The following is a 25,189-nucleotide window of genomic DNA, read 5'->3' on the forward strand; positions in this document are numbered from 1 at the left end:
CCGTCTCCACTAAAAATATAAAAAAATTAGCTGGGCGTGGTGGCAGGCGCCTGCAGTACCAGCTACTCAGAAGGCTGAGGCAAGAGAATGGCATGAACCCAGGAGGCGGAGCTTGCAGGGAGCGGAGATCGCGCCACTGCACTCCAGTCCAGCCTGGGCGACACAGGGAGACTCCGTCTCAAAAAATAAATAAATAAATAAAGTTCAAAAATAGGCTAAGTTAATCTAAGGTAAGAGAGAGCAGAACAGCAGTTAGCTGCCTATGCCCTGGAGTGAGGAACTGGACTGACTACAAGGGAGTACAGGGGAACTTACTGGGGTGATGGAAACATTTTCTTCACTTGGTGAAGTAACTTCGATACATTTGTCAAAACTATACAAACAAAATTTGTGCATATTTTATGATATGTATATTCTACGTCATTTTAAAAAGTCTGGGAGGATATATAAACTAAATTATTTCTAGAGAATAACAATTTCTAGAAGATACTTTCTACTTTTTACTTAATATATTTCTGGATGACTTGATTTTTATCACATCCATCATATAGTATTCTTAAAATGACCTTTTTAAAAAAAAAATTTAGGAAACACTTTAAACAAGTACTTAGATTTGGTTTAAAATAATCCAGGGTGGGCCGGGAGCGGTGGCTCATGTCTGTAATCCTAGCGCTTCGGGAGGCCGAGGCGGGCAGACTGCCTGAGCTCAGGAGTTCAAGACCAGCCTGAGCAACATGGTGAAACCCCGTCTCTACTAAAAATATAAAAAATCACCTGGGTGTGGCAGCATGTGCCTGCAGTCTCAGCTACTCCGGAGGCTGAGGCAGAAGAATTGCTTGAACCCGGGAGGCAGAGGTTGCAGTGAGCTGATATCGTGCCACTGCACTCCAGCCTGGGCAAGACAGTGAGACTCTGTCTCCAAAATATAAAAATAAAAGAAAACAAAAAAAATAATCCTGGGTGCCGTACACTGGAGACCATGTCTAGGGACAGCAACTGCAGCCAGACCCTGAGCTGGGCCATCCCTGCCACTCACTGGGTGGTGCTGGGCAAAGGCATGCAGCTACAGGACAACCCCCCAGGGGCACAGTCTTCAGCACCACCCTGGGAGGTACCAGGATCATCTACGACTAGAAATTCCTGGAGTGTCGGAACTCACCCATGACCAAAACATCCCCGAGGGATCTGCCCACCATTCCTGGGGTCACCAGCCCTGCCAGTGATGAGCCCCCAAAAGAAGCCAGCCAGGGCCACCTGTGCAATGGCCCAGAAGGTAAGTAGTCGGGCCGTGAGGAATCACAATTTGAGATGGACATTTAAAGGACCAGCCATCAGATTGCGCATTGCCTATGGGCTCCTCCAGGCCTTTCTGGGAGGAATCACACCAGCTAGGCCTTATGAAAGTTATCACACTGGGCAGGTGTGGGACATGGGGTCGGCCACCCCAGCTTTCTCTCCTTCACTCAGGGCACCTGCCCTCTCCTCTTTGTGAAAACTAGCAGATTATCTCCTAGTGCCCTAGTGCCTCTGCTGATGTGGTAGCTGCTGCCCCAAAGGGTGTGACCCCTGCCAGCACACCCTTCAGCAGAGTGCCAGGAAGTGGACAAGAATGAGCCCTTCCTTCCAAATAATCCAATGATCGGCTCTTCTAGCCCTGTGCTCTGTGGGCGCAGCCACCCCTTCTTTAGGTTGATGTGCCTGGGAAAGCTCCCCTCCCCCTCCTTCCACAAGAGAGGAAATAAAAGCCACTTTCACCACAGGGCCAAAGGCGGGCAGGACTAGAGTGGAAGTAAGGACAGTGGGAAGTGAGCCATCTGTTGATAAATATTAAAGTGGGAGAATGGGAACATGGGACTTCATTAAAAATCTACTTTTGTGTATGTCTGAAAATTTTCCTAATAAAAAAGAAAGTAGAGGAGGAGAATGGGTATATCTATCTTTTCCACTAAAGAACAACCTCCAAGACGTATCATTAGGGAAAACACACAGTAGAGAAGAGTAGGTATGGAATATTAATATTTAGTGGAAGTAGAAGTAGAGTGTTCATGAAAGTAAGAAATATTTCTAGAAGGGTATACAAGAAATTGGTAACAGAGGCTACCTGTTGTAATTTTTCTCATACACATTTTTTTTTTTTTTGAAACGGAGTTTCGCTCTTGTTGCCCAGGCTGGAGTGCAATGGCATGATCTCAGCTTACTGCAACCTCTGCCTCCCAGGTTCAAGTGATCCTCCTGCCTCAGCCTCCAGAGTAGCTGGGATTACAAGCGTGCACCACCATGCCCAGCTAATTTTGTATTTTTAGTAGAGATAGGGTTTCTCCACGTTGGTCAGGCTGGACTCGAACTCCCGACCTCAGGTGATCCACCTGCCTCGGCCTCCCAAGTGCTGGGATTACCGGCATGAGCCACCGCACCTGGCCTCATATATGTATTTTTAAACTGAAAAATCAAATGGCAAATGGTCCAGTTAAAAAATTTCACACAGGGCCAAAGGACAAAAAATTAAAGCACAATAATCATGACCCACTTACCATTCAACCCTTCTCTTCAAAGATACATATTCTTATCCATTTCTTGTATATCCTTCCAGAAAAAAATGGATGCATATACATATATATACACACACAGACACACATACATACTTTAAACATTAAAGAGATACTACATACACCTTTTTTCATTAATAAGTCTTCCTTATTAGCACATTCCAACCTACTTCATTGTTTTTAACTGCCATCTAGTATTCTACTGCCATCTAGTATTCTACTGCATGAATATTGCCAATTTTACTTAACTATTTCTCCACCAATGGACATCTAATTTTTAGACATTTTTGCTATTGCAATATTGCTACAATACATATATCACTGCATTCTTTTGAGAACATATTCATAAGGTAATTTCCTAGGTGCAGAATCATTGAGTGAAATGAAATTAACATTCTAAATTTTTCTATATATTGAAACACCGACTTGCCAAAAAGATTGTCCCAATTAACATTCCCATCAACTGTGTCTAAGTGTCTGTTCCTTAACTTCATTGCCAATATTGTCATTCTCACTTGTCATAGACTGAATTGCATCCCCCCACCAAATCCATATGTTGAAGCCCCTAACCCCCAGTACCTCAGAATGTGAGTGTATTAGGAAATTGGGAATAGGGCTTCCAACGGTCATTAAGTTAAAATAAAGCCACCAGTGTGAGCCCTAATCCAATCTGACTAATGTTCTTACAGAAGGAAGAAATTTGGACACACAAAAAGACACCAGGGATGTGTACCAATAGAGGAAAGACCACGTGAAGACACAATGAGAAGGTGGCCTTCTGCAAGCCAAGAAAACCTTCAGGAGAAAACAAACTTGCAGACCATTTGATCTTGGATTTCTAGCCTCCAGAACTATAAGGAAATAAATGTCCAGGCCAAGTGCAGTTACTCACACCTGTAATTCCAGCACATTGGGAGGACAAGGCAGGTGAATCACCTGAGGTCAAAAGATTGAGACCAGCCTGGCCAACATGGTGAAACTCCATCTCTACTAAAAATACAAAAATTAGCTGGGCATGGTGGCACACACCTATGATCCCAGCTACTCGGGAGGCTGAGGCAGGAGAATCACTTGAACCCGGGAGGTGGAGGTTATAGTGAGCCGAGATTGTGCTACTGCACTCCAGCCTGGAGACCCTGTCTCAAAAAAAAGAAAAAAGGAAAAGACAAGAAATGTCCATAGTTTAAGCCACCTAGTCTGTGGTATTTTGTTATGGTGGTCCTAGCAAACTAACAGACCACTTTCTAAATTTTAGTAATCTCTGTGTATTTTGTATTATTAAAAATTTCCTTCATTTTTTTTGTTTAACAAATACTTTATTACTTTATTTGCACAACCCTCTAAGCCTTATTTAACCTTTACTTAAAAAACAAGTTGTTTTAACAAATCACGTTCATTTTGTGTTGCTATAACAGAATACCCGGGACTGGGTAATTTATTTTAATAAAAAAAGAAATGTAGCCAAGTGCAGTGGCTCCTGCCTGTAATCCCAGAACTTTGGGAGGCTGAGGCGGGTGGATCGCTTGAGGTCAGGAGTTGAACGCCAGCCTGACCAACACGGCGAAACCCTGTCTCTATTAAAACATACAAAAATTAGCTGGGCATGGTGGCGCACACCTATAATCCCAGCTACTCAGGAGGCTGAGGTAGGAAAATTGCTCGAACCTGGGAGGCAGAGGTTGCAGTTAGCCAAGATCGTGCCACCGCACCCCAGCCTGGGAAACAGAGCAAGACTCTGTCTCAGAAAAAAAGAAGGCCAGGCACGTGGCTCACGCCTCTAATGCCAGCATTTTGGGAGGCCGAGGCAGGCAGATCACCTGAGGTCAGGAGTTTGAGATCAGCCAGGCCAACATGGCGAAACCCTGTCTACTAAAAATATAAAAATTAGCTGGGCGTGGTGGCGCCACCTGTAATCACAGCTACTTGGGAGGCTGAGGCAGGAGAATCACTTGAACCGAGAGGCAGAGGTTGCAGTGAGCCAAGATTGCGCCATTGCACTCCAGCTTGGGCAACAGAGCAGACTCTATCTCAAAAAATAAAAAAAAGAAAGAAAAATAAATTTATTTCTCACAGTTCTAAAGGCTGGTAAGTCCAATATCAAGGTGCCCATATTTGGCGAGGACCTTCTTGCCACATCATCCCATAGCAGGAAGGTGACAGGTGAGAGCACAAGTGAGAGAAAGCAAGAGAGGTCCCAACTTGATTTTATAACAAACCTACTCTCTCAATGACATTAATCCATTCATGAGGGTAACGCCTTCATGACCTAATCACCTCTTAAGGGTCCCCCCTCTCAACACAGTTGCATGGGGGATTTAGCTTCCTATCCATGAACTTTTTTTTTTGGCGGGGGGAGTCAGGGGGTGCAGTAACAGTCTCTCATTCTGTTGCCCAGGCTGGAGTGCAGTAGCATGATCACAGCTCACTGCAGCCTCAACTTCCTGGGCTCAAGAGATCCTCCTGCCTCAGCCTCCCAAAGTGCAGTGATTACAGGTATGAGCCACCATGCCTGGCTAACCCATGAACTTGGGGGACACATTCATCCACAGCATATGTATGTAAGTCTTAATATGTGTTCTTACTATGAGCCAAACACTGTTATATGTGCTTTATAAATGTGTACATTTAATCCTTGAAGCAACCCTATTTGGTAAGTACTATTACCCACATTTCAAAGGTGAGGAAATTAAGGTACCAAGAGGCTAAGAAACTCGCTCAGAGTGACAAAGCTATTAAATGGTAGAGTCAAGAAAAGAACCCAAGAAATCTGGCTCCAGAGTCTGTGCTCTCAACCACTATGCTGTTCATGGAATTTTTTTGTTGTAATACCATACATAATTTTTATATTATCAAGTGTACCAATATTTTCCTTCATGACTTCTGAATTTTAATACCGTCTTTACAAAGATTACTCCACCGGACAGTTACTTTAAAATGTATTCATGTCTTATAGACAGTTCATAAATTTCATCTTTTATATTTACACCTTCAATTCGGTTGGGATTTATTTTTAAGATGGCAAAAAAATCCAGCTTTTCCTAAATGGTTAGCCAGCTGTCCCAATTTATTGAATAATCTTTTTCCCTGTTGATTTTAAATGGTGTTTTAATCATATATAGTAAATTTCCACAAGTATTTGAGTTGATTTCTAAGCTCTACTGTGTTTTATTAATCTGTTTTTTCTTCTCCAATTTCAAAGTCTTAGTAATCATTATTTCATAATATATTCTAAAATTTTTTTTTGGCCTCATTTTCCTTTTTAAAACTTTCTCGACTATTCTTTTGTTTTGTTTTGTTTTTTTGAGGTGGAGTTTCACTCTGTCACCCAGGCTGGAGTGCAGTGGCGCAATCTTGGCTCACTGCAAGCTCTGCTTCTAGGGTTCATGCCATTCTCCTGCCTCAGCCTCCCAAGTAGCTGGGACTACAGGCGCCCACCACCACGCCCGGCTAATTTTTTTGTATTTTTGGTAGAGACGGGGTTTCACCGTGTTAGCCAGGATGGTCTCAATCTCCTGACCTCGTGATATGCCCGCCTCGGCCTCCCAAAGTGCTGGGATTACAGGCGGGAGCTACCGCGCCTGGCCCAGCTATTCTTACACAGTAATTTCCCCTAGAAAAACCCAAGTATCAGTTTGTCAATGTACCGAATGTATATTATGAAAGAGGGGAGGCACTTATAAATATTAATAGAGAAACACTTAAGGTTCATTTAGTCCAAATCTCCATTTACAGATGAGAAACTGAGACTCAAGTAAGTTAAGTTGGCCAGGCCACAGAGCTACTTAGAAGCACTATGGGTCTCCTTAATCAGATTTTTTCTATGGTTGGAAACTAGAGCCAAAGATGGTACCATAAGGCAACAAATCAGAGATGGAAGCCTACGCTTCTGGTCTGGCTTCTTTTGGTCTCTTCCAACGTCCCTCATCTTCAAAACGTAGCAAGAAACTTTGTGCCTAACTACCCTAGTTCACAGAGTCAGAATCCTGAAGTGTAGAAAAGGTAAGGCAAAAGGGATTCTTGGAGAGTTCTAAGAGAGAGTCAAGTTCTGGCCCAACCAGAAGGGCAATCAAGCAGCATGATTTCATATGATTTGCTTTGTATTTGAAACACTGGAATTTGAGGAAACGAGTATTGCTATTTTTTTTTTTTTTTTTTTGAGACAGAGACTCGCTCTGTTGCCCAGGCTGGAGTGCAATGGTACAATCTCGGCTCACTGCAACCTCCACCTCCAGGGTTCAAGTGATTCTCCTGCCTTAGCCTCCCAAGTAGCTGGGATTACGGGTGCCTGCTACCACACCTGGCTAATTTTTGTATTTTTAGTAGAGATGGGGTTTCACCACGTTGACCGGACTGGTCTCCAACTCCTGACCTCAGGTGATCCACCCACCTCAGCCTCCCAAAGTGCTGGGATTACAGGTGTGAGCCACCACGCCTGGCCAAGTATCACTATTTTTATAGTAATATGCTCTTTGCCTAAAAAAAAAAATTTAAAGACACTGACCAGTGGGAGGCCAAGGCAGGCAGATCACTTGAGGTCAGGAGTTCAAGACCAGCTTGGCTAACGTGGTGAAACCTGGTCTTTACTAAAATAATACAAAAATTAGCTGGGCGTGGTGGTGCATGCCTATAATCCCAGTTACTCGGGAGGCTAAGGCAGGATAATCGTTTGAAACCGGGAGGCAGAGGGTGCAGTAAGCTGAGATCATGCCACTGCACTTCAGGCCTGGGTGAGAGAGCAAGACTCTGTCTCAAGAAGAAGAAAACAACAACAACAACAGAAAAAAGACACTGGCCAGGTCCATCCACCTTATTTAGGCCTACGCCCAGTTTAGAAAAGCCAAAGAAATGTGTATAGACTTACGATTTCTCAATATCTGCTTGGCTTGGTTAGCCATAATTAAACATGGTTTTTTCTACTAAATTCTTTTGGGATCCTTTTACCTGAATGCTGCTTTCTTCATCTTCTCGAGGTGACTGTGCAGGCATGACTTCCACATCTGAATTATCAGATGAGGTATTACGTTTTCTCTTCTTACCCACTACAGGAGTGATGGTGCTAAAAAGGAAAAACCAAATTCATTTTCAGTGAAAGCAAAGAAAATTTAGGAGTAAAAAAACATAATTAATCTAAACCATCACATACAAAACTTCCAGACAGAAGTTTTTAGATCTTCAGTCAATAGGACACACAGCTACTAAATATGGTGTTTGAAAAAAAGAAGATATTAGGGTTTGTAAACCACTGACTGACCCTTATACCATATTTGACAAATCCTTGTTATTACTGTGTTCACAAATACCTGAAGGAAGGTAGCACAAGATAGGAGAATAAATACCAGATTAAGAATTAGAACACTTATTGCAGTTCCACTTCTGTCACTACAAGAGCATTAGTTTCATTATTTGTAAACATTAGAGAGATAATACCTGTCCTGACAGTTACTGAGGCTCAAATAAGAAACATAAAACTGTCTTTTAAAAGCTGAAAAATCCGGTACAAATACAAAGCATTATTATAATTACACCACAAAGCCTTAAGAATCCCAGGGAGTAAAAGCTAGTAAGAAAGGAGAAGATACAGGACATGGAAGGGAAAGAGAGGACACTCAATTATGACAAGAATTATGTGGCAAGCCATCACTTTTCTGTCAACACTGCTTAAAGCTAATGGTAGATGCTGAAATCTCCAATTCACAGAAGAGATGCAAGAACAGGACAGCTATGTCTCCAGTAGTTCTCTTTTTACTGATGTGGGTGGTAGGAGGTAGTGAGAAATCTCTTTCACACTACAGTAATACAAAATCAGGACAAATATATGAATGCAGAGTCACAGCTTTTAAAGGTAACTCCCAGCACAGTAACTATCTTTCCTGTGCCTTCGTGTTTTCCTCTTAAAATATGCTAATTTCAGTTTTCCATTTAACAAATCCTATAAGCATTAGGACAGAAAAAAGAAAGGCCTTATTATTTTCTATAATAGATCACCTTGAACTATGTAGCTGGTAAATACACATAAGTTCCTCAATGCTTCTTAGAAATGAGTGCTCTGCCCTCAAATGTCCCATCACAATAGCAAGGAGTACTCAATCTTGAGCTTGCTCTTGCCCGTCCCATCCCAATAGCAAGGAGCACTCACTTGAGCTTGCTCTTGCCCGTCCCATCCCAGTAGCAAGGAGCACTCACTTGAGCTTACTCTTGCACGTCCCATCACAATAGCAAGGAGCACTCACTTGAGCTTGCTCTTGCACGTCCCATCACAATAGCAAGGAGCACTCACTTGAGCTTACTCTTGCACGTCCCATCACAATAGCAAGGAGCACTCGAGCTTACTCTTGCACGTCCCATCACAATAGCAAGGAGCACTCACTTGAGCTTACTCTTGCACGTCCCATCACAGTAGCAAGGAGCACTCACTTGAGCTTGCTCTTGCCCTTTGTTTTGGAGGTACCAGATGTTTGCTCTGCCCTCAAATGTCCCATCCCAATAGCAAGGAGTACTCACTTGAGCTTACTCTTGCACGTCCCATCACAGTAGTAAGGAGCACTCACTTGAGCTTGCTCTTGCCCTTTGTTTTGGAGGTACCAGATGTTTGCTCTGCCCTCAAATGTACCATCCCAATAGCAAGGAGTACTCACTTGAGCTTACTCTTGCACGTCCCATCACAGTAGCAAGGAGTACTCACTTGAGCTTGCTCTTGCCCTTTGTTTTGGAGGCACCAGATGTTTTACTCTTCTTTGGCTTCTCCTCTTTCAGCCTCTCCCCAGCACTCTTCTTCCTGCGTTTCTTCTCGCCTTCCTCCTCTGGCCGAACGCTGGGCAACTCGTCCTCATTTAAGACTCGAGGTATGTTCTGCTCACCGCGGGCACGGGCTCTCGCAATGGCCTCTGCTACAATCCGATTTGCTTTCTCTTGCTTCTTCTGGTGTTCCAATCTGCGGTTTTCCTCCATTCCTGTCTTTCCCCCCGAATGAGGAGCAGAGCTTGCTGGTGATGACAAAGCTGCCACTTCACTGGCACTCAGAACTTTAACTACAGAGAGCCCAGAAGAGGCCCCTTGGGAAGAGCCAGCCTATAGAAACAAAGATACTACAATTTCAACTTGCTTGTAGTTAAATGGCCTAAATAAAATCCAGCTCTGAAGCAGGGGGGCTAGAAACTAGTTCTTTAATCCCTCAAGAATCAAGCTCAGACTAAATCTTATTGAACCTACACCTACTTTTTAAAATGTATTCTTTTGGTGGGAAAGGGGTGAGAAAAACCAAGAATTCTGCCAAAATAAACTTTAGTATCTTTTTGCTATGCTTCCATTAATATACATCTCCATTACCTCAGAAAAATTACAACTAATATACCCAATATTGGTCTCTGGCCTAACGGTAAAAAAATTCAAATTCTACTCTTGGCCTACCTTTTATCTGCCTGGGCGGGGAGAGGGGAGGACTGATCACTTATTTCTTCAAGTCATTTCTGAACTATCATTTAAAGGATATCACAAATCATTTTTATTTCACAATAATATTAGGAAAAGATTATAAATAAAACAATTCAAAGATAAATACTAAATAATCTCATATCCCAAACCCAACAATCCCTCTCTAATCTTTTAATAATATAATTAAAATAAGGTTTCCATGAATGAAAGAATTAAGTCTGCACCTCAGTTCAGAGATATAAATCTAGAATGGCCCCACATTCAAGAATAAGTGGTTGCTGAGGGCAACAGCAATGGACTAAGTATTTTTGTTTTCTTTCTTTTCCTTACTATGTAAGTCTCTCACCTGTGGCTGCAGTACCACCTTGACTGGTACTGAAAGTCTTTGTCCTGGGCTTTGTCCTGGTCCCATTATCTGAGCCTGCTGTACAGAGGACAGAGTCACTGGCTGGGTGGAGGGTGGCTGCTGGGGCTGTGGCTGCGATGATGGTGGTTGTGGTACAATCTGGATTTTTTGCTGTGGCTGCTGCACCTGCAGCTGGATAGTTACTACCTTGGCAGGCTGCCCTTGGGCATTCTTGGCTTGAGTCAGGGCTGCCAGCTGGTTGCCCTGTAACACTATCTTGCCTGGTAGACTCCCTAGCACAACATGCCGATGTCCTTGGGGACCTCCAGACTGTGGCTGCTGGAGGACCAGGGTGATGCGTTTCGATTCACCCTAAAGTGAAGAAAGGAAATTGCAAGAGTACAACATTAAAGAATGGTATACTCTGAAATATTTACACCAGTTTTCTTCATGCTAGAATCATAAAAACTACAGGTCAGAAGACACAGTACAACTCACTTTGTTCATCATCCTATCTGTCTTGATGCAATCTTTTTTGTTATTTTTAGACAGGGTCTCGCTGTATTGCCCAGGCTAGAGTGCAGTGGCTATTCACAGGCACAACACTACTGCTGATCAGCAAGGGAGTGCTGCCCTGCTCCGTTTCCAACCTGGGCCAATTCATCCCTCCTTAGGCAACCTGGTGGTCCCTTGCTCCTGGGAGGTCACCATATTGATGTCAAACTTAGTGCAGACACCTGATTGGCATAGCACACCACAGCCCAGAACTCCTAGGCTCAAGTGATCCTCCCGCTTCAGCCTCCTGAGTAGCTGGTACTATAGGTGCATGCCACCATGCCCAGCTAATTTTTATTTTGCTTTTTTGTAGAGATGAGGTCTATGTTTCCCAGGCTGGTCTCGAACTCCTGGCCTCAAGCGATCCTCTGGCCTCAGCCTCCCAAAGTGCTGGGACTATCAGCTGTCCTGATAGAATCTTTTCTATAATGCTTCTGCTCAGTAGGTATCAAGCTATGTTTTAAAAACTCCTGATGGAAGGCTATCTTCTAATGCAGCAGTTCATTTTTGGAAACCTAATAATACAAAATTCCTTATATTGAATTGAAATCTGCCTCCTTGTAGCTTCTTCCCACTAGTCCTACTTTTTTTAGAGACAAGGGTCTCACTATGTTGCCCAGGCTGGTCTTGAACTTCTGGCCTCAAGCAATCCTCCTGCCTCAGCCTCCTGAGTAGCTGGGATCACAGGTGAGAGACATTGTGCCTGGCTAGTCCTAATTATCTCAATGCTGCGCCCCCACCCCCACCAACTCTTTTGGCCCTTTATTCAGATGCTAGAGCCTCTACCTTCTTACGCTAGAAACTAACACTTTCACTGAGCAAAGTAGGAGGGGGACAATCTTAGTAATAAGAATAAAAGAAAGATATAAATAGCTTTTACAAGTCTTGCAAATATAAAGATAATTCTTCAAAGATGTTTCTTTGTTCCCATAGCATCCCATACTTCTCATAAAACTTTGTATCACACAATTATTGTGAACTCTTGCTTAATATCTGTCTTTCCTGGCAGACGGTGAGCTCTGTAAGGACAGGGACTGTGTTTGCCTTATTTAGCACCAGCTAGGTACAATGTAAATGTGTAGTAAGAGCTCAAAAAATATGTTAACATTAACTGCTTCCAACCAGCAAGTACTAAGTATGTGGCTGTCACACTAACTGATAAAAACCAAAGATGGAATTTAAATAGGCTTTCCCAGAGAAAGCTCTCATGTGCTCACTCTCTCAAAGAGTTGCTGGGCCCTCTATGAAACCAAAATTCACCTCCCCCTTTCACTCAAGTCACCTGGGTAGGTGTAGAGGTCAGTGTAACTGCAGGCTTCAGTGGGGGCCCTGTGGCCCCAGGGTTTCCAGCAGGAGCTGAACCCTTAACTGGCTGGAGGACCAGCTGCTTTACTGGTCGGCTGGGCTGGACAATGCGCTGAACAGCAGCCTGGTTCCCAGGGACCTTGGCGGCCAACACTGTATTACCAGAGACAATGGAAACACCTGGTCGAAGGGGTGTGCCGGTTAGCACTTTGGTAAAAGTGACTTTTCCACCATTGGCTGTGCCTGCCACCAGGGGCTGAGCTGTGCTGGTGATACCTTGGGCCTGAATTTGTGCCACATGGGCACCAGTGACTGAGGAGCTTGGTGGGGCCTTAAGGATAACAATCTTAGGGGCTGACTGAGGTGGCTGCCCTCCAGCACTACTGGAGGAGACAGCTGTGGCAGAGACACCCATGAAAGGATTCCCTTGGCTCAGGATCTCCTGGCTCTTGGAGACTTGCAAAAGTCCTGATGTTGGCGTCGATGTCTGTAAGACAGGTTGGGCTGGCTGCTCCTGGCTGGCAGGCTGAGTGGTATAATCATGCAAGGTTATGGATTCTGGAGCTGGAGCTGTGGATTCTTTGGAAAGTTCTGTGGGAGCTGTTTCCTCTGGTGGAGGGACCAGTTCACTTGCTGATGAATTCCCCACATCACCACCTCCACCATCCTGGTTCATCTGATCCAAGGAGTCCAGAGAGCTTGGCAGTCCAAGGGCTTCCTCAATGGGGTCTTGTGTGACCTGGTTAAAGCTGTCATCAGTCAGAGAGTCCAGGCCAAATAAATTTGGGTCATCGAACAGATCCATGATGGGGTCTGCCATCTTGGGAAAGTAATGGAGGGTACTTCTCCAAGGTCTAGGGAGGGAAGGGGAGGGGGGGTACTGGCTCTCCCCTCCCCTCCCCTATTAAGAAAAAAATGTACACAATGTAAGAGGACTACTCTTCAAGTATAGAGGCAAGAAACAAGTGCATGTCAGATTGTCCTGACCTTCATGGAGCAAGATGGCTACGTCTTCAGAGGAAGATGGTGGAACTCCTGTTGTAGGAATACAAATACAAATGAAAAATAGGCAAAGTTGGCGATCTCAGAGAAAATTTTCCCTTCTTACGTACTGTTCTTAATATCAAATAGCATGAATATAAGAGGGAAATGTGAGGAAATCTGAGGACGGACATACAGCAGAAAGACACTCATATTTCTGCTTCAAAACTAAAACTAAAAGAGAAAAACAATAACAACCTCCTCTTGGGCACTTACACCTACAAACTTTAAAGACTCTGTCAAGAGCATTTGGCTGTCTTTCTCCGTTTCTTTTAACAATTATTATTCTTTGGTAAAGATAAAATTTAATATTCATTTACCTTCTATTTTCAGTTTTTAAGTTAGTAGAACTCAAAAATATGCCACCAGAATTACAGTGACTCTATAGATAAAGGTTTCTGGATATATTCTATTGTATAAATTTTTCTTGTGTTTTATATATTTTTACTTACTATTGGCAAAAATAACCACCTTTAACCAAGGCTTATAGTACAATCTCACCAAAGTGATCATACAATTTTACCCAGGAAGTTTTGCAACCTTTATTCTAGTTAACATATTAATCTATAATGGGATTTTTGTTCTGAAGTCCCCTCTCAAGAAAACTTTCTCATATTTAAGATAAAAAAGGTCAATTGCAAGGGATTCAACATTGTTTCCAATTTATATTCCCAACTTCCTCTTACCATCTCTTACATATATTTTACATTCCAGTCCAACTAGACTACACAATTCCCTTAATGTGATTCCTACCTGTGTGACTTTGCTTATGATGCTGTGCTTTCTGCCTGGAACACGTCCTCTCCATCCCAATGCCAATAATCTCTCGCAGCTAAAATCCTACCAACCCTCAAAGGTCTTCTACTCCATTAAGTGAGCCCTGAACCTCTGACGCTTTAACAACTGAGCAACTTGTGATGACTTGATCCCTCCACCTCCTTTAAATACCCACACCATTGTTTATACCTTAAAACACTTATATTTAATATTTTATTATAATGACCTAAGTCTGTAATATATCCTCTGAAGGCCCAAATGGTTCCTTTGCGCAAATTGTAAAAAGTTGCCCACTTCTCAAGATGCCTGGAAAACTGCCATACTAAATATATAAAAATTTGTTATGAATGTATGCAATGTACACCCTCCACAACTCTGTACCATGGCCCAGCTCCTCTTTCTCTGGGAGAAAGTTCTTGGATGGTGGGGACTATGTTTTATTTATCTGTGGATCCCCTAAGAACCAGCAGGACATAGCACATATAGTAGCTAATCAAAAAACAGTTAATGAATTATACTTGCTCGCATTATCTGGAGTAAACCATTCGATCCTCACAGAAACTAAATGGTATCCTTTGATTCTAACATGAGATGGTAAAAAGCTTCCTATCTTGAAAACATGTCTTATGAATGGCTGAAAGTAGGTTCACAAAATCCATGTCTAGGGTTTTAAGTTCATGAAACTAGTGGAAAAAAGAAAAGCTATCAAAGACAGGGAAGTATATCACCATAAAACCCAAATATATGAAAAAGAAATATCTGTTCTTTGTATATGATGACAGTATTTGACAATACAGGAAAGTCTTGCTTGGTAAGACCATTTCTCCTAACTTTTGGAAGACACCAGATAAGAAATTTGTCAGAGGCACAGTCCTGACTGAAGGAGACTTTTCCATATAACCCCCATGCTATGTTTTTTCCTTCCCAACCCATCTCACTTATCCTTATAAAACAATATAATATGGGTTAATATATCAGATACTCCAAAACAGACAAAGAGAACAAACACGTGAGTCAAAATTACAAAGTATACATGGTATCTCCAACAATGTTAAACAAGATCGTCCTTGCTTCAGTAATTGCATACTTTTCATATCTCAACCCAAGATCCATACCATCTCCCATTCCTGGCTAGCCTATTCCACCAGCTCATTCCAGCCTCTCATATCTAATATTTGCCTCCAAATTACTCAAAATGGCAATCAGGAAAGTTATGAATGCTTCCTGATTTAACGAAAACCTACTCAATAACTTGATATTAATAAATTTCCTTCCCATTATCATCAGCTTTTTTCCAGTATACCTACTTTGGCACCAATTATTTTTCATTCTCTACTCACCGTCAGAAGTTAAAGTATCTACAGCTAGGAGTAATATAAAAACAACAGTGAAAGTTTCTTTTTTTTTTTTTTTTTTTTTCTGAGACAGAGTTTCACTCTTGTCGCCCAGGCTGGAGTGCAATGGCGCGATCTCGGCTCACCGCAACCTCTACCTCCTGGGTTCAAGCGATTCTCCTGCCTCAGCCTCCCGAATAGCTGGGATTACAGGCCTGCGCCACCACACTCGGCTAATTTTGTATTTTTAGTAGAGACAGGTTTTCGCCACGTTAGTCAGACTGGTCTCGGACTCTCGACTTCAGAGGTGAGCCGTCGCCTCAGCCTCCCAAAGTGCTGGGATTATAGGCATGAGCCACCACGCTGAAAGTTTCTACTAACCAGAAGTTTACGTTGCAAATAGTTTATAGCCTGCTCCTTATTCCATGGAGTATTTTGTCGCTTCCATGATTCCTTGCTATTTGTTAATTCTAATGCTCTTCCTTTCCCCCATAATGATCCAATCTTAGGCCCAGATTTTTTTTTTTTTAAATAGGAGAAACAAGGCTGATGGTTTCTGATGAATCTCCTTACCCCCATATGACTTAGTATAAGCTTTTTAAAGATCAATGCATTGTCATTTATCTCTCCCTTCCCAATTTTCGAACCAAATTTCTGCTTCTTCTAGTTCGGTCTATGCCTAATAATTCAAAAACCTTGCCACCAAGTATCATTACTTCTCAGTCCCATCATTCTCACCTATACTGACCCAATTCATCTCATATTTTTATGCTAGTTTCCTACTTCTTTTCTAGTTCCTATCTTTAAACTGTCCTTGACTCTTACAAGATTAAACCTTCTCCCAACATACATCTAACTTTTTTTAACCCTCCTTCTACTACTACTTGTGGGTCACCCTGGCTATATCCACATACGGCCTATTTATTCTACCAAGCTCATCTATCTCATGAATCCTCTCAACCATCTCATGAATTCTCTTTCCTTGATTCAAACCCTAATAGCAAAAATGAACAGATGTTAAGTTGGTTTCAATGCAAAGTAACTGCCTAGATAAAGAAGTCACACCAACTTTTATCATATTAAGAATGAAAAGCCAGTGTTGGCCCACCAGTCCCCAAAAGAGAAACACATGTATGTGCTCAAAAGGAAAGACAAAACTTAGTGGTTGTACTTAGTCACTTTCCATAATTACAAACTAATGACCAGAATCATGACAGAAATCTTGGAGGGCATGTAGGGGGTGAGGGATGGCAGTGGAAGGGAAAAGTAACAAACTAGTCAGTTAAGGTTAAAATCCAAGCCCATCTATCTATAATCGCCAAGTAACAATACAGTTACCTGTAGAAAAATACTTTATTATATATGCCAGTATAGCCCTTCACTTCATCTCCTTCTTAAAGGTGAAACTACTGCTTCCCCTTGAGACAAGTACAAACTGATGTTCTTCTGCAGCTTTACCACCTTTAATACAGTTCTTGATTTTTTTGGAAATCTAGAGTCCCAACTCTCTCATTCTTATTTGACATTATTCCTCACCCTTGCCCATTTCTATAATAAACTGTCTGTCCTATGATAAAGTATTTTGTTTTAATTCTACCCTATATTTTTCCATCTCAATCTCTCCATACCTTTCAACAAAGCAGTGATTCTCAACCAGGGGATGGAGACTAAGGCCCTTAAGAAGGGCTTCTGGGAACCGAGGGTGGAGATAAATGTGCAGTTCTTAAAGGTGTATTCAATATTATAATTTTATATTTATCAAGTGAAAAAACTACATCTCATTGTTTAGGCTATTTATATTTATTAACACTGGACAAAGCCTTCTTGGCCAGTGAAGATCTGTAAAAGACACGTGAGGAGTAGAGGGCAGAGAAAGAAACATTCCTGGCTTGGCAGAGTTACCAGTATCTTTGGGATGGGATAAGATTTCCTATAGCCTCTCAAAAGGAGTTTATCATCATTTACTGTTTATGATGGATGAGAAACACTGCAAGAGATTAGTTCTGTCGTCTAATAGATAAAATTATGTAAAATGAGCTACAGATATCTATTGCCCACTTATAGATTTCTCCGTAGTGACAACCTCTTAGAAGACAATGAACGAATGCAGTATTGAGCCATGCTGACCTCTTTCTGTAATGTGCACTTTTAGAAAGTACCACTCATGACCACTTAACCTCTAGCTGCTCAAAGGTTCAGAAAAGAATAAACTATTTTATTTACTTCAAAGAACAAATCTTGTTGTTGGAAACTGTATCCTTTCAAGAAGATCAGTTGCAGATAGACATAAATACATGTTACTGAAACATAAGATGGGTAGAAGCAGCTTAATTTAAATGAGAAATACCTTGAAAATAAAATAATCCAAAGGGCTAAAATGAAAATCACCAACATAATTTTAAAAGAGAAGTATTTTAAAACTGTACCATGAAGACATTCGTGAGACACGAAGGGTCTCAAATCTTATACAGAAATGAAAAATAAACATCCAAAGTGAATGCAATCACAATTTAGGGTCAGCAAAGGATCAGGATGGAAAGACATAGGACCAAATTGGAGCCACTCAGATTTCCTAAGTAGATCAAGATCCTAGGCCATTTTCTCTGTCTTCACCATTCTCACTGCCAAATGTGTGGCTACTCTGTTTCTGTTTTCCAATTACTGAAAGAGAAAGCACTCACACCTCAATCAAGGGTATGGTCATTTGGGGGAATATAAGGCTGGTAAAGTAAGACCTTGTGAATAAATCGGAAAAGCAAAATAGGCAACTACGACAGCTAAAGACATGTATTTTCAGGGGGTAAAGAAGAAACTAGAGAGATTCTGCACTCATGAAAAAAGGGAAAGGGCGAGGTGAGGAAGTGAGGGGTTGATGGAGAGGAAAACGCGACTGGGGTGGGGGTGGGGGGGACCCGGGTACATTACCTGCTCATACTGCCGGGGTTGGTGCCAGTAAGGTCCATACAGCAGAGGCGGAAGATTTCTGGTAACTGGAGACCCCAAAATGGAAATGAGGTACATGCACTTGAGGTAAGGAGCTAGCGGGGGTGCCCTCCAGGGTGGGGATGGCCAAGACGGGAAGATGCGGGGGGTGGGGGGTGTGGATGCCCGGGATAGGAGCAATGTTAGGGCGGAAGCTGCAGGCCGAGAGGCCCGACAAGCCCTGAAGGAGAAAACGAGCTGTGCCTCACCCCAGTGGAGGAGAGAGGTGGCTTTACCTGCAGTGGCTGTGGGGGGCCGGTTCGCCCCTCTCCCTGTCTCTCCAGCACCAGTTCCCCCTCCTCCTGCGCAACCTAACCTGATGCTCCTGCCCGCCCCGCGCCATCATTGGCTGAAGCGCACTGCCACTCACCAAAGGCGAAAAGACGCAAAACAGCGCAAAGGGTGGGACTATAAGGAGCTCCCTTCCCCCTCCCCCGCAGGTTAGGTTGAGAGCGCACGGAGAGGCCTATCCGGTTTCTAGGGCCGAGGCGAAGCCTGCAGCTTGCTTGAAAAAAGGGGGCTGGCCAGAGGAACAGTCTCATAGTACGCGAAACCAGTCCTGGAGATTAAATTCCCTACCATCTACTCTGAATTCTTCACCCTGAAGAGTATAAACTTGGGAGGGAGGGTTCCGCGCTAGGCCAGCTCCGCCTCCCTCTGAATCCCCGGCCTTCTAGCAGCCCTGTCAACCCCTCTCCTGTAGTGACTACACCGTATCCCACTACCTAATAAAAGGGGCCAAATCTTCTTCCCTCCATCGTGGGAGTCAGCCCAGCTGGAATATGGGGCCTTTTAAAGCACTCTTTCTGCCACAACACATAAGGTTGCCGTGCATTTTTGACACTGTGACCCTTCAATACCAATACGGCTTTTTAGACAGTAATTCCTGGGGCCCTCTAACAATTCCCGACCCTTAGCCCGCTCAAAACAAACACTCCTCACCCTCTAAACTCGGTTTCCTGTTCTCCCATCTCTTGAAACTCAGCCCATTTGACCTTTTAATCAGTGTCCACTTTGCGATGTCACTTGAAATCACTCTAATTCCCAGTGAGACTAGACAACCCCAGAATGATGGTGTGCAAGCTTAAATCCACCAAAGTAAACTTGTTTTTTCCTTTTTTGAGACAGAGTCTGACTCTGTCGCCCAGGCTGGAGTGTAGTGGCGCAATCTTGGCTCACTGCAACCTCCGCCTCGCGTGTTCAAGCGATTCTCTTGCCTCAGCCTCCCGAATAGCTGGGATTACAGGCGCCTGCCACCACACCTAGCTAATTTTTGTATTTTTAGTAGAGACAGGGTTTCACTATGTTGGCTAGGCTGGTCTCGAACTCCTGACCTCAAGTGACCCACCCACCCCAGCCTCCCAAAGTGCTGGGATTACAGGCGTGAGCCATCACGCCCAGCCAGGACACTGTTATTAAAAAGAGCAGTTTAGTCCGGGTGCAGTGGTGGCTCATGCCTGCAATCCCAGCACTTAGAGAGGCCGAGGTGGGCAGATCGCTTGTATCCAGGAGTTCAAGACCAGCTTGGGCATTACATAGTAACACCTAGTCTCTTAAAAAAAAAAAAAAAAAAAGAAAGAAAGAAAAAAGAAAGATGCCGGGCGCAGTGGCTCACACCTGTAATCCCAGCACTTTGGGAGAGCGAGGCGGGCAGACCACAAGGTCAAGAGATCTAGACCATCCTGGTCAACATGGTGAAACCCCGTCTCTACTAAAAATACAAAAATTACTGGGCGTAGTGGCATTCGCCTGTAGTCCCGGCTACTTGGGAAGCTGAGGCAGAATCGCTTGAACCTGGGAGGCAGAGGTTGCAGTGAGCCAAGATCACCCCACTGCACTCCAGCCTGGTGACACAGCGAGACTCTGTCTTAAAAAAAAAGCCAAAAAAAGCCAGGTGCAGTGGCTCACACCTGTAATCTCAGCATTTGGGAGGCCAAGGTGGGCAGATCACTTGAGGCCAGGAGTTTGAGACCAGCTTGGCCAACATAGCGAAACCCCATCTCTACTAAAAATACAAAAACTAGCTGGGAGTGGTGGCACTCACCTGTAGTCCCAGCTACTGGGGAGGGTGAGGCACGAGGATTGCTTGAACCCAGCAGGTGGAGGGTGCAGTGAGCCAAGATCATGCCAAGGCACTCCAGCCTGGGCAACACAGTGAAACAATGTCTCAAAAAAGAAAAAAAAAGGGCGGCTTATCTCCTGACCATTAGTTTCCTCTGAAAGTATCCTCAACATTGAAATCCTATTTTCTTATACTCTGAGGACACAAATTAGGAAAATCAACTTGCTTTAGATGTCTTATTTTTTAAAGATCCTAGCATTACCACTGTCGCTAAAAACACCTAATTACCACTCCTGTAAACAGCAATACTGTTTTCCCATTCACTGTGGCTCAAAACCTCAACAGTCTCTAAAACCTCCCCCCTGTAGCCACCATCCAATCATTTGCCAAGTGTCATTGATTCTCTTACAATATATAACAAAGATTTTGGAGCTGCCAAAGACTCTGTCAACCTTCTTAGTGTATAGATGAGAAAACTGAGGCTTAGAGAGTTGAATGTTTGACTATGAAACTAAGTGGCAAGTTAGGATTCATATATCTGACTCCTATTTCTGCTGCCATCTCCCTTACTTATGTAGTTGCTTATGTAAGAGAAAAGCCTCATAAAAAATCTCTCTACTCACCCTACTAATCCATTCTGCAACCAGATTAATATCCTAAAACACGGTATGGCCAAATCAAACTTGTGCTGGAAAATTTTCAAAGGCTCCCAATTACTTAAGACAATATCTTATATTTCCTGTCTTATTTTCTACCATTTGTCTACATATACTTGCTAGCCAAAAAAAGACAAATTACTATTGTCGTATTTTTTCTAATCTGAGCCTAATATTGCTGCCTTCAAATTATACACATCTTTAATTTCTTTCTTTGCATTACCAAAATCTTACTTATTATCCTCTAAGTTCAACATCAAATGCTTCTTATTACTTCAATATGTATTGAGTATGTAACATGCCAAGTAATCTGCTAGCATTAGGGATCCAAAAACAAGTAAGACATAATCCCTACCCTCAACTCACAGTAAGTAAGAGTGCATTTGTGTATGTATGTGGGAAGAGGGTAAAGAGTAGGCAGTATGACAACAGTGACAAATAAAAACAATTATAATACAAGGTGACACATTCAATAAGACCAGCAGGGGCTCAGGAGGAAAAAACATCAATAAAGTAGTTTCTCTTTTTTGTTGCTGGTTTTTTTTTCTTGAGATGGAGTCTCACTCTGTTGCCCAGGCTGGAGTGCAGTAGTGCGATCTCGGCTCACTGCAACCTCTGCCTCCCGGGTTCAAGTGATTCTCCTGCCTCAGCCTCCCGGGTAGCTGGGATTACAGGCGTCCACCACCATGCCCGGCTAATTTTTGTATTTTTAGTAGAGATGAGGTTTCACCATGTTGGCCAGGCTGGTCTCGAACTCCTGACCTCAGGTGTTCCACCCACCTCAGCCTCCCAAAGTGCTGAGATTACAGGTGTGAGCCACCGCATCCAGCCAAGAAAATAGTTTCTTAAACAATGAGGAAAAGTTACCAGGTGGGAGGGAAAGGTGGGCTGTAAGAAAGGGATATTCAGGCAGCAGGGACAGGAAGAGGGAAGGCAAAACAAAGCATAGCAATGAGAAACAGCATGAGACATGTAGAGGAAACTCTAGTTCTGTAGTTCAGCCTTGCTAAAGTGTAAATCGCGAAGAAGGAACTGGATAGAGATGAAGCCGAAGGGACAGGTAAGGGCCAGAGCGTGGAGAGCCTTGAATAACATTTTCTTACAGGTGGATGAGGAGCCACTGAAACATGGAATAACGTAATCAGAATTACATTTTGGTTAGCTAACTCTGGCTCTAGGGGGTGAGAGGACAGAGGACACAGAAGCAGTTAGGAGGCTGCTGAGACCAGAAAGGAGTTGTATAGTGAACATTTGCTAGTTTTTTTCTGCTCAGCAACCAAAAGGCCCCTTCCTATATTTTCCATGGAAAGCTGGATCTTATCTCCCCATATGGAGCCTGGGGAGATAGGGTTCAATTGCCTCCTCCCCTTCCTAGCAAAGAGGAAGTATGCATGCACATGACCTAGGCTAGTTTAAGTGGATACTCCTGCTGGGGAAGTCTTGACTTTGCAGGAGTAATGCAAAGACCCAGGACCAACCAGTTAGACAATATTTGGCAATGGCAGATATTAGAGTCCAACTGTAGCATCCTATATAGACTGGTCAGCAGTGTGACCTTGACCTTCTCTTTGGTCTTCCCTCCTTTGATTTCACACCATTCTCTAAACCAGGTTCTCTAATATTCCCATTACTTTTTTGAGCCATTCAGTATCCTTGCAATAAATTTTCTTCCTGCTTAAGTTACCCAAAAGATGATTCCTGTTGTTTGCAACCAAGAATCCTAACACAATTATTAGGGCCTAAATTATAGCAATATGGTTCAAAAGATAGTGATAGAATTGTTTATTGGCCTTTTGCTAAGATCAAGTTTAAAAAATAATAATGGGAGGGAAATGACAAAGCCAGAAACACTTAAGGGATAAAAATCAGTAGAACCTGGAGTTCAGAGGGAAAGATGAATAGTTTAGCCATATTGAAAATGAGCTGCCTAGAGCTGGGCGTGGTGGCTCATGCCTGTAATCCCAGCACTTTGGGAGGCCAAGGCGGGCATATCACGAGGTCAGGAGATGGAGACCATCCTGGCTAACACGGTGAAACCCCGTCTCTACTAAAAATACAAAAAAATTAGCTGGGCGTGGTGGTGGGCACCTGTAGTCCCAGCTACTAGGGAGGCTGAGGCAGGAGAATGGCATGAACCCGGGAGGCGGAGCTTGCAGTGAGCCAAGATTGCGCCACTGCACTCCAGCCTGGGTGACAGAGCGAGACTCCACCTCAAAAACAAACAAACAAACAAACAAAAACCAAAAAGAAAATGAGCTGCCTATAGTATGTTAAGTAGTGACATTCAGTAGGAGGTTGGCTGTATGAGCCTAAAAGTCTGGCTTGGAGATAGATTTTGAGAGTTATTAGCAACTAAGTGTTAGCTGTAAAAGTGGAGATTACCCAGGGAATGTGAAGAGCAGGTCAAGGATAGGAAAAACTGCAAGGCTGGGAGGCCAAGGCCAAAGAATTGCTTGAGCCCAGGAGTTTGAGATCAGCCTGGGTAACAAAGGGAGACTGTTTCTACAATTAGGCCGGGTGCAGTGGCTCATGCCTGTAATCCCATCACTGGGAGGCGGAGGCAGGCAGATTGCTTAAGCCCAAGAGTTCAAGACCAGCCTGGGCAACACGGCGAAACCCTGTCTCTACAGAAATACAAAAATTAGCCAGGCGTGTGACACAGGCCTATAGACCCAGCTGCTTTCAGGGCTGAGGCAGGAGGATTGCCTGAGCCCGGGAAGTTGAGGTTGCAGTGAGTCAAGACTGTGCCACTGTACTTTAGCCTGGGCAATAGAGTCTGACCCTGTCTCAAAATAAAATAAAATAAAATAAAAAATTAGCCAGGCATGGTGGCATATGCTGTGGTCTCAGCTACTTGGGAGGCTAAGGCAGGAGGATCGCTTAAGGCTTCAGTGAGCCATGTTCATGACACTGCATTCCAGCCTGGGTGACAGAGACCCTATCAGAAAGGAGAAAAGAGAAAGGGGAGGAGAGGAGAGGGGAGGAGAGGAGAGGGGAGGAGAGGAGAGGGGAGGGGAGGGGAGGAGAGGAGAGGAGAGGAGAAGGGAGGAGAGGGGAAGAGACGGGAGGAGAGGGGAGGAGAGGGGAGGAGAGGGGAGGAGAGGGGAGGAGAGGGGAGGAGAGGGGAGGAGAGGGGAGGAGAGGGGAGGAGAGGGGAGGGGAGAAAGGAAAGAAAGGAAGAAAGAAAGAGAACAACTGCACAAATATTGTTGGGAGAGACAAGAGAATGTTAATGACTGTGAAGAACTGGAGAACCTATATCCATTCTGAAGAATGTAGCTGCAATTCACCTCTAATTAAGTCCTGTCAAATACAAACACACATCCAAGGTTGAAAGAAAACTTCAGATTTTCCAAAAGCCAGAATTTTGACTGTAAATAACTAATTTTTTAAGAAAACTAAACACTATGCAGGATAAAGAAAACACTTAGCTGGGCTGGGCTCAGTGGCTCACACCTGTAATCCCAGCACTTTGGGAGGCCGAGGCGGGAGGATCACCAGGTCAGGAGATTGAGACCATCCTGGCTAACACGGTGAAACTCCGTCTCTACTAAAAATACAAAAAATTAGCCGGGTGTGGTGGCGGGCACCTATAGTCCCAGCTACTTGGGAGGCTGAGGCAGGAGAATGGCGTGAACCCGGGAGGTGGAGCTTGCAGTGAGCCGAGACTGCGCCACTGCACTCCAGCCTGGGTGACAGACTGAAAAGCTAAGGAGGAACCCAGGAGAACAACAGAAATTAAGAATCAGAATAATGCCTTCTTAAGCAGGTAGAGAAAAAACAGCTAGAGAAGCAAGACAGTGCAGTGTCACAGAGGCAGAGAATAGAGATTTGCAGGGGAAGAGTGATCAATTATATCAAACAAAGCAAAAATGTCCAACCATATAAGAATTTTAGGACTGGGCGCTGTGGCTCACACCTGTAATCCCAGCACTTTGGGAGGCCGAGGTGGGTGGATCACGAGGTCAGGAGATCGAGACCATCCTGGCTAATACGGTGAAACCCCATCTCTACTAAAAAATAACAGAAAATTAGCTAGGTGTGGTGGTGGGCGCCTGTATTCCCAGCTACTGGGGAGGCTGAGGCAGGAGAATGGCGTGAACCCGGGAGGCGCAGCTTGCAGTGAGCTGAGATCGCGCCACTGCACTCTAGCC

General features: G+C 43.7%; 1 protein-coding gene and 2 pseudogenes across 2 annotated transcripts in view, besides 5 other annotated features; 1 reads left to right on the forward strand and 2 right to left on the reverse strand.

Moving 5' to 3' along the window:
- Positions 1 to 25,189, reverse strand: part of CHD8 (chromodomain helicase DNA binding protein 8) — a 70,925-nt gene that overhangs the window by 33,442 nt on the left and 12,294 nt on the right. Inside the window, exons 1-5 of one of the 2 annotated variants that reach the window (NM_020920.4) lie at positions 18,554 to 18,635; positions 13,171 to 13,218; positions 10,324 to 10,695; positions 9,229 to 9,614; positions 7,488 to 7,602 (exon numbers count right to left, since the gene is read on the reverse strand). In NM_020920.4, the coding sequence (NP_065971.2) occupies positions 7,488 to 7,602; positions 9,229 to 9,614; positions 10,324 to 10,695; positions 13,171 to 13,176 (879 nt within the window). In that variant the 5' untranslated portion in view covers positions 13,177 to 13,218; positions 18,554 to 18,635. Of the gene's footprint in view, positions 1 to 7,487; positions 7,603 to 9,228; positions 9,615 to 10,323; positions 10,696 to 12,160; positions 13,219 to 18,553; positions 18,636 to 25,189 lie in introns of those variants that run through there. The other variant, NM_001170629.2, reaches the window with a different exon arrangement.
- Positions 960 to 1,767, forward strand: EIF4EBP1P1 (eukaryotic translation initiation factor 4E binding protein 1 pseudogene 1; annotated as a pseudogene).
- RN7SL650P (RNA, 7SL, cytoplasmic 650, pseudogene) lies at positions 10,868 to 11,166 on the reverse strand (annotated as a pseudogene).
- Positions 18,522 to 19,065: an enhancer, noted in NCBI's record as "H3K27ac hESC enhancer chr14:21905321-21905864 (GRCh37/hg19 assembly coordinates)". NCBI's record gives its function as "activates a minimal SCP1, AML or CMV promoter by ChIP-STARR-seq in primed H9 embryonic stem cells {active_cell/tissue: H9 hESC(primed)}" and the evidence as "EXISTENCE:reporter gene assay evidence [ECO:0000049][PMID:30033119]".
- Positions 18,853 to 19,012: an enhancer, noted in NCBI's record as "active region_8102". NCBI's record gives its function as "activates an Ori minimal core promoter by ATAC-STARR-seq in GM12878 lymphoblastoid cells {active_cell/tissue: GM12878}" and the evidence as "EXISTENCE:reporter gene assay evidence [ECO:0000049][PMID:35858748]".
- Positions 19,043 to 19,222: an enhancer, noted in NCBI's record as "active region_8103". NCBI's record gives its function as "activates an Ori minimal core promoter by ATAC-STARR-seq in GM12878 lymphoblastoid cells {active_cell/tissue: GM12878}" and the evidence as "EXISTENCE:reporter gene assay evidence [ECO:0000049][PMID:35858748]".
- Positions 22,250 to 22,544: an enhancer, noted in NCBI's record as "tiled region #12162; K562 Activating DNase matched - State 5:Enh". NCBI's record gives its function as "activates a minimal TATA promoter and a strong SV40 promoter by Sharpr-MPRA in K562 cells {active_cell/tissue: K562}" and the evidence as "EXISTENCE:reporter gene assay evidence [ECO:0000049][PMID:27701403]".
- Positions 23,278 to 24,196: an enhancer, noted in NCBI's record as "H3K4me1 hESC enhancer chr14:21910077-21910995 (GRCh37/hg19 assembly coordinates)". NCBI's record gives its function as "activates a minimal SCP1, AML or CMV promoter by ChIP-STARR-seq in primed H9 embryonic stem cells {active_cell/tissue: H9 hESC(primed)}" and the evidence as "EXISTENCE:reporter gene assay evidence [ECO:0000049][PMID:30033119]".

This window comes from Homo sapiens, chromosome 14, assembly GCF_000001405.40.
Source record: "Homo sapiens chromosome 14, GRCh38.p14 Primary Assembly".
NCBI lineage: Eukaryota > Metazoa > Chordata > Mammalia > Primates > Hominidae > Homo > Homo sapiens.